Raw genomic sequence first — 12,057 nt, 5'->3', positions numbered from 1 at the left:
TCTTGAAAAGGTTGGATGGACTTTTGCTTAAGAAATGCTTGAATGTTTTTTCTTTTTTTTTCTTAGAAAATAAATGTCTTTAAGTCTGTGTATATAATTCACAAAACAATTGTAAATCAAGGGAATTGACTCTGCCTAACAAAGGTACAATGACATAACAGAACTAGAACAAGATAAATGGCCTCATTTATTGAAACAATGTGCAAATGTCTGTCCTTGTTCTTGGGAAGTTTCTTTTATTTACTATGCTTCTCAATAAAAATAAATTTGTTGTGAGAACTCAGAGTGCTTACTTTACAGTACTCTTAAAAATTCATATAGAAGTTACAAATATTGGCCAGGTGTGGTGGCTCATACCTGTAATCCCAGCACTTTGGGAGGCCGAGGCAGGCAGATCACCTGAGGTCAGGAGTTTGAGACCAGCCTGGCCAACATGGTGAAACCCCGTCTCTACTAAAAATACAAAAAATTAGCTGGGCATGGTGGCGCAGTACAGCTCCCGAGTAGCTGTAGTCCTAGCAGAGGGCTGGGTCCCAGCTACTAGGGAGATTGAGGCAGGAGAATCACTTAAGCCCAGGAGGTGGAGGTTGCAGTGAGACGAGATCGTGCCATTGCACTCCAGCCTGGGCAACAGAGTGAGACTCCGTCTCAAAAAAAAAAAAGAAAAAAAAAGTTACAAATATTACCATCACCATTGTTGGTATTTGAGAAGAAACCTCATGAACTTGATCTGATGCTGTTATATATGTTAACGTTTGAAATAAATGATGACTCTGTTATTGCAAGTGTACCACACTTCCCCCACAAATCTATAACCTCACAGTTTCAGCAGCTAGGTTTTTTGTTTGTTTGTTTGTTTTTTTAACTTTTGTTGGAAGACATTTCTTTTTTCAGATTGCTTTCTTTCCAGAGGGCAATCTTGGGAGAAATTAAGCAAGAGCACTCATTAGTTCTGTGAGTAATTTTATTGAACTGGGAAGAATGTCTGTCTTGCTGGTCTCAGAGTTTGATACAATTAGAATTTTAGAAAATTATCAGATCTAATTTGTGCTGGGATTCAGGCCTAATTACTGAAAGACTCTGTGGTCTGATGAGTCAAGGTGAGGGCATTGCCGTCTCATGTTTCTTGGGTGATTTGGAGTAGGGCAGTGGCCAGGGGAGGTGAAAGCTCTCTGCACAAATCCAAGTCACTTTCCTGCGGCTCCTGGTTGCCCATGAGTGGTCCTGTGTGGAGCATCTGCAAGGGAGGTCTTGCTGAGTCACCCTGCATAGAGTTTGAGTTGCTGGAAGAGTTGAAGTCTACTAAGAGCTGCTGGCCTTGACCCACAGAGGTCCCAGCAAGAGTCTCTTTCCAGCAAAGTGTCCTGCTGTGTGAAGGAAGAAAGCACGATTCCACCCTGGGGAGGTACTTGGGAGCAGGGACAGAGGGAAAGCATGGGTTTCTCAACACGGATGCTTTGTGGGAGCAAGCAATACTGCCCCATATCCAAATGAGCAGTGACTCAAACATTTGAGTTCTGGGAATTGCCCTTGTTCCTAGACTTCCTTGAAGGAACAGAACTGTGGGGGCACACTTTTACTGTGCATGCGGGCACGGGTGTGGGCTCCTTTACAGTTCTGGGGTGGGGCCTGAAGGCCACATCGCTGCCAGGTCTAGACCTAATGAGGGACCTGCACCTAAAGATGCAAGCTGTGTAAAATAAAAAGTTGAAAAGTTAAACCTGGGGATAAGACTAACTGGAGCGTATTGTTTCTGGAAATGTAGCACACAAAGCAGGAAACATTTCCATTGTAGTTGTGTACATTGGGTGCATTTTGTAACAGTCCTGTTCATTATGACTGTTACTCCTTCATTGCTATCTAAAGAGCGTGTAGGTAGCTAAGGTCATATGGATTGGGCAGAAGTGGCAGTAGGAGTGGGCAGTAAGGATAGAAGGAACGTATCTCAGTGAGTGTGCAAGTTAAGTACTTGGCATAATGTAATAGTGCCTTTCATATCCTAAGGTCATACTGTGGGTATCTTTAAACTGTCTAGACCACACGTGCATACAAATCCTCCCCTGGGGATCTCCTGAAATGCACATTCTGATTTGGGAGCTCAGGGAGGGGGTCTGAGAGACTGCATTTCTAACCAGCTCTCAGGGTCACTGGGAGTAGCAAGCACCTCCAAAACTGCTGGAACCTGGAACAACTGCAGGGAGACCTGATCTGCCCATTAGACCACATCTCCCTGAGGGTCTGGGATGCATGTGTCTTTGTGCCTCCTGTACCAAGAGCAGTGCCTGCTAGGAAGTGGATGCTCAAAATGATCTTTTCAACTGAACTGAAGAGGCTGCTGTCCCAGAGTCCGTTTACGTTAGTGGCCTTGGGACGGCAGGGGTGTGGCGACCCAGTCATAGCCTGTACACTTATTTCGGCCCAGCTTGGTTATCGCTTTACAGCCGTCTGCAGATAGGATGTGTGAATTTGGCAGCAGAGGCGGGGCTTCTGGCACCGGCAAGGAGTGATAGCTGAGGGCTTGGCAGTGAGGACAAGGACAGAACACCCATGGAAGAGAGGGAAGAACTCAGTAACTACTGCCATCAGGGATAATTAGCCGAGTGGCAAGCAGCCCTCCTCATTTCAAGAGGTCTGTGTTGTACACCCACATGCAACTCTGTGCCTCAGTTTCCTCATTTGAAAAATGGAGAAACTTACAGTTCCCCTCTTGTAGGTTATATTAAGGATTGAAGCTTTTAGCGCCTTGCCAGGCTTAGCACGAGAGGGCAATAAACATGAGTTGCAATTAGGATTGGTGTGTAAAGGGTTAAGCCCCAGCCTTCAGGGAGGTTTCTCCGAGAAGAAAAATCCCATTCCTGAGGTTGCACATAAATGTGTTGGTATTTTGCCGCTAAAGGAGTAGGTGTAAATTAACATGCAAAGTGATTCCTCCAGAAGGCTGGGGGTGGTGAAATGGGCGAAGGAGAGGTTGCTACTTGTTCGTCATCCTCAGGAAATTCTTAATGGAAGAGGCAGATGTCAGGAGCTTTCTAATTAATGGGCAGATGAGGTGGGAGATGAACCTGTCTTGGGGGTGTGCCTCAGGGGCAGGCATGGCGCTGCCAGAGCTAGCACTGGGGTGAAGTTCCAGGGACCCTTGCCCGTAAGACCTTAAACCAGAATGCCACTTAGAGGGGACAGCGCATGCTTGGCTGTATGCTGTAGTGTTTAAGCCTCTTTGCAGCTGACTTATATTTGGTTCTTTAAAAGTCTTAGAAGTGGCTGGCTAAAGGTAACGGGGTGCTGAAGCATGGCTCCCACACATCTCTGTCACCCCAAAGGTGCTGGGCACGAGTATTCAGGGAAACCTTGGCTGTGTCTGACCTATGTTTACTTCAGAGCTTTATGCCTAGCACGGGGGTTTGCACAGGGACATTGAAAGTAAGGAAGAAGAGAGCAAAGTAGATGGGTCTCTCGGAAGGCTTTGAAGGGGTCCCAAGCTTCTGTATTTTCTGCAAACGCCTGTGAAAACTCCCAGAACATTCCTTGATCAAAATGGTTTTCTTGTACCTTCTCACAGGGAGAGAAGCGAGGGTGGGGGCAGGGTCGGGATGTCATGGGAATGGAACGTTCTTAAGCTCAGTTGTATGTGATTTTTATTTTTCTCTGTTGCCTGGTTCATTAATTCATAAACTCCCTTAGAAGGCTAAACAGTTCATTAGAAATATCCTATTTCTGTTAAATAGCATAGAAACATGTCATTTACATTTTTCTTTAAAACTCAGAACTTGAGATCACTTCTGTAAAATGTGAGCCAAGGCTGGCTCTTCTCCGGGAGGCTCTGGCGGTGGTGGGAATGTGGGGTTCAGGGGATAGAGGGCACTTGCAGTTTACCCTGTGACTTTGGGTAGCTTTTGAATTTTTGAGCCGTGTGTGTATTGCCTTGTTGAAAATCCCATCATGGCATTGCTTCTTTGGGGAAATCTGATTTCGTTTGTATGGTACCTCTTGCAGGAATGTAGAGGGTAGCTTTTAATCACCTTCAGTCTCTAGAAACTGGCATATTATTCATTTGCCTCAGCAGGCGTTAAGATTAACAACATATTCCATGGGTGAAACTTCGCAGTTGGGCCCAGGAATAGTCTCTCTGCTTTATAGCACTCATCACCTTGCTGGAGAGGGAAAATCAATCAGGTAAGGAGACATGTCTTGATTGTTTAGTGAAGCAGCCACGTGAGGAAATTAAGACTTGTTTCCAGGTGTGAAAAAGGCCTATGAAGGAGGAGGCTCTGCCAGCCATTGAAAGTGTGTTCTCCGCATGTGTTTATGTATTGTCTGGGCATGAAGAGGGGTAACATGGAATAGATCTCAAAACGGGGAGGCAGTTATGAAGCCACTGAGAAATAAATGTAGAAAAGCAGAGAGGAAGCACGGTGTAGGAATCCTGGACTCTTAACAGAGCTTGAAGTACCTTGGAGCCTGAGAACCCAGACATGTCCCCTCCTGCCTGGCCTCGGGAGTCCTCCTGGGGACTTATCACACTTGCTGCATGGCAGTTCCTGGATGCACTGGCCCCTCAGCAGTCACGGCCTGGAGTTAGAGAGACCTTCACCCCACAGGCTCAGCCATGGACTCATGTGATCCTGGGCAAGAGGCAGGTTCTCCAGGCCACATTTTTTGCCTTGGGGGTCTGAAGAGCTTGCACTAAGATGCTACCCTCTGTGAGGTTTCCAGCCCTAAACAGGAAGTCAGGGACATTCCATGATTATGGATCCGCCAAAGAGCTCTGAGCAGTTTGGTGACCATGCTGTGAAAGTGGATGTTGAGTGGGAACAACCACGATCAGATCTAGTAGGAACAATGGGTCTGGTAGGAGGACGATGACAGAGACCTCTAGTAGAGAAGTGTTACTTTGCCTGTGTTAGCCCAGAAACATGGAGCAGGGCACCGGTTCGACCAGAAGGAGCAGAATGGCTCTTGTAAAAATAAAAAGCACTTGGTACCAGCATGCTTGTGGTCCACCAGGTTTGTGCCCCATCAGAGGAATACTCCGGAGGAACTTGGGCCGTTCAGAATAGTGTATTTCCAGTGCAGCTCTGGAAAGAGTGAGCAGTCGTGGACCAAACATTTCATGGTCTGATGAAAAGCTAGTGGATGCTGGCCAGGTGCAGTGGCACTTTGGAAGGCTGAGGCGGGTGGATCACCTGAGGTCAGGAGTTTGAGACTAGCCTGGCCAATATGGCAAAACCCTGTCTCTAATAAAAATATAAAAAAATTAGCCAGGCATGGTGGTGTGTGCCTGTAGTACCAGCTACTCGGGAGGCTGAGGCAAGAGAATCGCTTGAACTCAGGAGGCGGAGGTTGCAGTGAACCAAGATTGCAACACTGCATTCCAGTCTGGGCAACAGAGTGAGACTCCATCTCAAAAAAAAAAAAAAATTGCTAGTGGATGCTTATCCATTCATGACAGGGGCAGCCGTTTCCTGGTGTCAGATCCCTGGCCGTGGTGTCCTGTTGTGCGGGGCGCCTCAGGTGGAGTTTGGAATGTCGGGATAGGCCATGAGAAGTTTCAGTTCCATACTATCTCACCAGGGAGGAAGCCTGAGAGAAGTTATTTTTCAAAAGGATTAGTGAGCCATACACATCAAAATATATACAGGCTTCATCAAAGGAAAGAGACCCAGCTTGAATTGAGGATGAAGCATTTCCACAGCAGAGTCTGGCCGAAGCTCTGTGTTGAGATATCTAGAGAGAGCTGTCTGCTGCCTGAAAGGTTTCTTGTAGAAAACCCTTCATGGTGGCACCACTTGTATCTGTTTCTCTTCTGCCCTCCTGAGGGACATACTTTTCCCCAGCGGAATGAAGAAAAAGGCAATATTGAAAGATGTGTGAGAGCGAGAGTTCTTGCCTGCTGCCAGGCCCCGCCTGCGGAGAGAAGGGCAGGGCTGTGGAAAGAGGCCTTGGGTCTGAGAACAAGAGGACTCATTAAAGTCTGTGGCTTTTGACAGGCTGTGACAGGGAGCCGGGGTATTGAGGGATCACTTTTCCAGCATTGGTGGATCCTTAGTGGGTTTGGAGCTCTCAGAGTACCCAGTGAAAAGGCACCGGGCAAGAGCTACCCGGGGTGCCCGGTTGAACCAGTAGCTTGCCGTGTCCTCTCCAGGGAGAAATAGTTCAGGACAGATTGTGCCAGATTTGCATTCCTCTCTGCAGCCCTTCCAGGGCTTTTGAACCACGGCTGGGCTCTGGGCAGACTCAGCTGGGGACAGACGGTGGACACTCGGCACCTTTCTTGGGCCTCACAACGTTTGCCCAAGGTCCTTTAGGTTTGCCTTAGCAGATGTGATCCTGCCGATGACAGGGTATTCTTATCTACACTTGCAGATGTGTGTGTATTAAAATAACACGCCCTTGGATTGAACAGAGCACACTCAGCTGTGCCACTGAGTTCACGTAAGGTTTGCAGTAGGACAAAGGATGGCAAAGAGTTCGATTTGCAAAAAACAAAAAAAAAACTTCAGTTGTGCAGCCCAAGTTCAGATGTCTTAAATATCTGCTCTCCGGACAGAAATCTGATAAGGGTTGTGCTACAGGAGAGGGGAAATCTCATTTGCCAGCCCCTAAGAAGGCTTGGCTTTTGTTTGGGGATGGCAAGGACTTCCTAAGAGGGTTGACTGAAAGATCCCGAAAATGAGAGTAAGAAATGCCCTCAGAGTCTCAAATGCCACAGGCCACAGCAAGGAGAACCACGGACTTAGTGACCAGCTCTAGAAGTCAGCACGTGTTCCTTCTCAGAACTTGCAAATGTTTTAGAACAAATGAAAAGCAAACAGGACTTTCCACAGCTGGTGACAAACTGACCCAAGCAGAGGGAGTGGAGGAGGAGAGGGTCTCGAGCTCCAGAAGAACGTGGTTCTCCTTGGTTGCCCAGCACGCGGGGGCTAGCGGTGCTTGGGGTGATCACAAATCTTTTGCAAATGCTGTCATGGGGCATGCCAGCCCACAAAGCCTGCTTTGTGAGCTCCTCCAAAGACAGGACACTCGGCCAGAGACGACTAAGGTTGACCAAGATATTATTTCTTGTGATCTTGGCCGTCCAAGTACAGGCTATGTGGCATTTCAGTGAGGAGCAGGACAACTTGGTGGCCAAGAGGCCCGTCAGAGCTGCCTGGCTTGCATTCTGCACGTCATTGCAAAGCAAGTTGCAGCCCCAGCGTGGACACAACTCTCTTGGAGACAAATTTCAGATTTCCCTGTTCTCTCCAGTGTGTGTTTTCCACCTGTCCCCCTTTACTTGGGACTTCCCAGAGCCACACGCCCAGAAGACACTGCCACTCTTCAGTTAGTGTCACTTCTCCTACACTGGGCATCCAGCTTCCTCCACAGCCTCACCAACCCCCTCACCAGCGAGGTACTTGGAGCTGACTCGTGTATTTGGCTCCAACTGTGGGAGCCTGCTGAATCTGGCGCCTGGCTCTGGCTAACCCTGACCTAGTTGGGTGGGAGTTCAGAGTCAGAGCTGGATGCCAGCCTGGCCACCAGCTTGAGGTGTGGAGAAAAGCCCCAGACGTCTTCACCAACAAAGTGGCTGGGAGAGAAGGTGGCTACTGAGGTGCAGGGAGAGGAAGCCCCTGCCCCATCCGACCATTGAGTTCACTGTACCTTTTGCCGATTCAGGCTACAGTAAAAGACCTTATGCCAAATTTCATTTGAATTTTAGAATTCACCTTGTGTTTCACTCTGGATAAAGCAATTTGTAAACTTCTGTAATGGTATTTAAATTTAGGTGATTAAAAAAAGACAACCAGTGATGGAGGTGACAGGCTAGGACCAGGGCCCCTCTGACCCAGAGCTACCTGAATGGGAAGAGGAGTAGAGGTGTTGGCGCCAGACAGACCTGGGTTCTAGCCTGGTCTCTGGTGCTGACCGGCTGTAGGAACCTGCTGCAGGCCTTCCTCTGCCCACTTGCCAGGTGCCAACTTCCAGGGTGTCTGAGAATCGAGGCAATGGTTGGCCAATTCTCAGTACAGAGCTGCGCATTTATCAGTTGGGCAGCAGATACCAGTTTCCTTTTTTTTTTCCTCCTCATTCTTTCATTTAGTTTCAAATGGCACTAGAGATGGTGCATCTGTTGTCCTGGAAGCCCACAGGGCACTCACGGAACAAGGCCGCTCAGCAAATGAACAGACCAAGTGGACCATCGGGATGGCCCAGACATCCTGTCCTGTCCCCTCCTTCTCTCACTTTCTGCAGCTCCACCAAGTATAGGTTTGATTTGAACTTGGTACTATTGGTGTCAGCCTTTGGAATGTAGGGAGAGTGTATGACCCTGAGAAACAGTGATACAATGCAAGTAACTGATTCCCAATTTCAACACCATGTCAGTTGCATTAGCTAGTTCTCTGCTGTTAGAAAATTGTTCAGTCTTATCTGAATATAGTTTGTGTGGTTCTTCCTACCTGCAGGAAGCTTTAAATTTCTTTTGTTTTCTTTCCTTTTTTTTTTTTTTAAAAAACAGGATCTCATACTGATACCCAGGCTGAAGTGCAGTGGCGTGATCACAGCTCACTGCAGCCTTGACCTCCTGGGTTGAAGCAATCCTCCTGCCTCAGCTTCCTGAATAACTGGGACTACAGGTGCACTCCACCACACCTGGTTAATTTTTTAGAATAGTTTTTGTAGAGACAGAGCTTTGCTATGTTCTCCAAGCTATTCTCAAACTCCTGGCCTCAAGGGATCCTCCTATTTCAGCCTCCGAGAGTGCTAGGATTATAGGCATGAGCTACCACACGTGGCCTAAATTTCTTGATAATTCCACCAGTTATCAAGCCATGAGTTCATGTTGTTGTTCATGTGAGCACTAGGCAACATTAAACATTAATGATATTTGGTGAAAATTAATAAAAGATGTACTTTCAGCTCTGAATGGGGAGCTCTGTAGGCCTTTCTGGAAGTTGCAGGGCAGAGGCAGGTGACCACAGTGGGCACTCATGTCCCTCAAACAGGGACAGAAATCTCTTTCTTTGAGCCAACTTTGAAAAAGTTTGTACTGTATTGAAAATAGACTACATTTGGAATCTAAACTTTTTAGACATTGGTATGAAAAACCTTTGGTTTAGTTTGTACGTAAACTTACTTTTAGGCTCACTGTTAACTGTGTCATAAAATACCTAAAAGTAGATATTTTACGGGATTCGGGGGCAGAAGTATGGCACATTTGTTTTATGGCAAGTAATACTTAATAGCATATCCAAGAGCTAAATACATCTTTAGTTCAGACTCTTATTTAAGTTTGTAAATTCTAAAGTTGAGTCCTTTAGCACAAAGGAAAGTTTACAGAAGCAAAACAAGTAAAGGTTTCTCTTTAAAAATTCAAAATATACTGGGGATTTATCATAAGTTAGAGGCAGTATACAGCACTCGGCTTTTAAAACTATGTCTTCTTCTTTTTTTGTTGTTTGAGTTTACTGTTTTGAGAAGATCTGCCTGGGCATTCTTCCAGCACAGAGCAAGAGAAATTGGCACCGGGTAGAATAATACCTTTATATATAAATAAGAAAATCATGGTGTTCTTAGGTGTTTGTTTGATTAAATGCTCCTGTAACTAAAGAACAGTTGCAACGGTAACACAAAGGGGCCTAGAAAAAGTGCCTTCTGAACAAGATTAGCTTGAGTTTAGGAGGTGGTAGCTTTTCTTCTCTGCTTTATTTTTGTGAATCTTAGCATATGCTTCATTAGGTAGAACAGGTGTTTTTGTTCATTTGTTTGGTTTGGGCCCAGGACAGATACTTGTGATTTGTGCTGCAAATAATCCTCTGCTGACAGACTGGTTAAAAAGTAAAGAAGTATTAGCTGCTCTGGCCACGCACGGTGGCTCATGCCGGTAATCCCAGCACTTTGGGAGGCCGAGGCAGGTGGATCACGAGGTCAGGAGATCGAGACCATCCTGGCCAACATGGTGAAACCCCGTCTATACTGAAATACAAAAAAATTAGCCAGTCATGGTGGCGCGCACCTGTAGTCCCAGCTACTTGGGAGGCTGAGGCAGGGGAATGGCGTGAACCCAGGAGGCGGAGCTTGCAGTGAGCCGAGATCGCACCACTGCACTCAAGCCTGGTGACAGAGCAAGACTCCGTCTCAAAAAAAAAAAAAAAAAAAAGCATTAGCTGCTCCAGTGAGTGCTACGAAATGTTAAGGTTTACCCTAGACCTTGGCTTTCCATTTTTATGTAAGATTTCAAATTTCAAAACAGGCTCTTTGAGAAGACAGCCTCCATTCATGTATTCATGTGTTCCACAGGTATTGGGTGAGCTCCTACAGGTGCTGGCACTGACTTTCCCAGGTTCTTGCCCTTATGGGCCATAACTCCCACAGATGAGTTCGTGTTCTTGTTCACGTGAGCACTAGGCAACATTAAGCGTCAGTGATATTTGGTGAAAATTAATAAAAAATGTACTTTCAGCTCTGAATGGGGAGCTCTGTAGGCCTTTCTGGAAGTTGCAAGGCATCTCCCACAGCTAGAGTGATAACACAGGCAGTTGGTCAAGAACCCTGTTTTTTAATGATTAAGTGAATGAAAGAGAATGTCACACTCTTACCATCTATCTTCATCCCTTTGTAAACTAAGCTCCTACTATTCTACTAAAACTGCTCACAATTTCAATTTCCTCTCTCTTGAATTAGACAATATCCTGATTTTGTCTCAGTCCTCACCCCCTGTGGTGTCTCTGAAACATTTAATACGATTGGCCATTCCTTTCTACAGATTCTCTAATTTTCTGGGTCTGTTGAAGGAGGCTTTCTTTGTTTTCAGCATGTGAGAGAGCTTGTCAAAGAATGGAGTCATTGCTTGTTAGTAGCTGGGTACGCAGAAATGCCTGTGGAAGTCAGGGTTCATGGTCTGCGGCTAGAAAGGTGCTGGGCAAAGGGGAGGTGTTCAGGCCTGAGGCCTGAGCTGTCAGTACCAAACCAGGGTTACCAGGTTTAGCAATAAAAATACTGGATGCCCAGTTAAATTTGAATTATAAATAAGCAATGGATACTTTTTTTAGTATAACTTTTTTATACTAAAAGATTATTTGTTGGCAATATTTGGGACATCATTGTGATATATTTGGGGCATACTTACATTAACCAATTATTGGTCATTCACATGAAATTTAGATTTAACTGGGCAGTCCTGTATTTGATCTGACAGCTCTTTGCTAAGTTACCATCCAGTCACATTGTCTTTTGTGGCTCCTGGTGCACTTTGAAAGGGGACGATGTGGGCCTTAAGGCAGACACACAGAGTCAGACACTCTCTGGCTTTAGAGAAGTCCGTCTGCCTTTGGACTCTAGAATTGCACCTCCCCATCATCTGTGTGCTACTTCCTCCTTCAGCTGCCAGAGTGTGGTGTTCCCCGCGATTCTGGTAACAGCTGCCTTCTTTTCTCCCAGGGATCTCACTCCCGGCAACACGTGCCTCTGGGTGTGCTCCACATCCAAGTTCCTCGTTTCAGATTCTCACAGCCCCACCTGCTTGCCAGATAGTTCTATCTGTTCTGTTGGACACAGGACATGTGGCAAGACTGCTTTTTGATCCGAGGATATTTTGACTGTCATTTAGGAATATAAATATTTTATCAGATATATGTCATCACCAAAGAATTTTTTGATGACAATATTGTCCTGAGTGACCTTCAGTTTAAATCATTGTGTTTTTAGAGCACAAATAAACCATTTACATTTTTCATGTTTCGTGACATTATTCTCTCCAGGATAGATTATTTGCTATCTGCATTTTCAAGAAAGGTTTCTTGTATTTACCAGCCACTTGTCTGTGGCAGATCTGACAGCTTTGAGCTTCTGTCTCTGTTTCTCCTGGACCACTTATCCCTTCCAAGTGGAGTTTTCCTCCATCAAATTGTGCAGCTTTAGATGTTGATTACCATGTTGAGTTGGCCCTTGCGGTTGTGTGTGTTGGCTGCTTCTGGTTGGTGTGGTTGGTGTGCACAGTCCCATGCAGGTTTCCCAGGATCACCTTCCCCGCCCAGTGCTGGTCAACTGTAGTGCTCGTGCCCATGTTTTATGAGCTTC

General features: G+C 46.1%; 1 protein-coding gene across 4 annotated transcripts in view, besides 2 other annotated features; it reads left to right on the top strand.

Moving 5' to 3' along the window:
* SLC7A1 (solute carrier family 7 member 1) overlaps positions 1 to 12,057 on the top strand; it is an 86,275-nt gene that overhangs the window by 10,907 nt on the left and 63,311 nt on the right. The gene's annotated exons all lie outside the window — the stretch shown is intronic.
* Positions 4,134 to 4,639: an enhancer, noted in NCBI's record as "H3K27ac-H3K4me1 hESC enhancer chr13:30154280-30154785 (GRCh37/hg19 assembly coordinates)". NCBI's record gives its function as "activates a minimal SCP1, AML or CMV promoter by ChIP-STARR-seq in primed H9 embryonic stem cells {active_cell/tissue: H9 hESC(primed)}" and the evidence as "EXISTENCE:reporter gene assay evidence [ECO:0000049][PMID:30033119]".
* Positions 11,311 to 11,430: an enhancer, noted in NCBI's record as "active region_7520". NCBI's record gives its function as "activates an Ori minimal core promoter by ATAC-STARR-seq in GM12878 lymphoblastoid cells {active_cell/tissue: GM12878}" and the evidence as "EXISTENCE:reporter gene assay evidence [ECO:0000049][PMID:35858748]".

The sequence above is a fragment of the Homo sapiens genome, chromosome 13, assembly GCF_000001405.40.
Source record: "Homo sapiens chromosome 13, GRCh38.p14 Primary Assembly".
In the NCBI taxonomy this organism is placed as follows: domain Eukaryota; kingdom Metazoa; phylum Chordata; class Mammalia; order Primates; family Hominidae; genus Homo; species Homo sapiens.
This window is presented reverse-complemented; position numbering and strand designations above follow the sequence as displayed.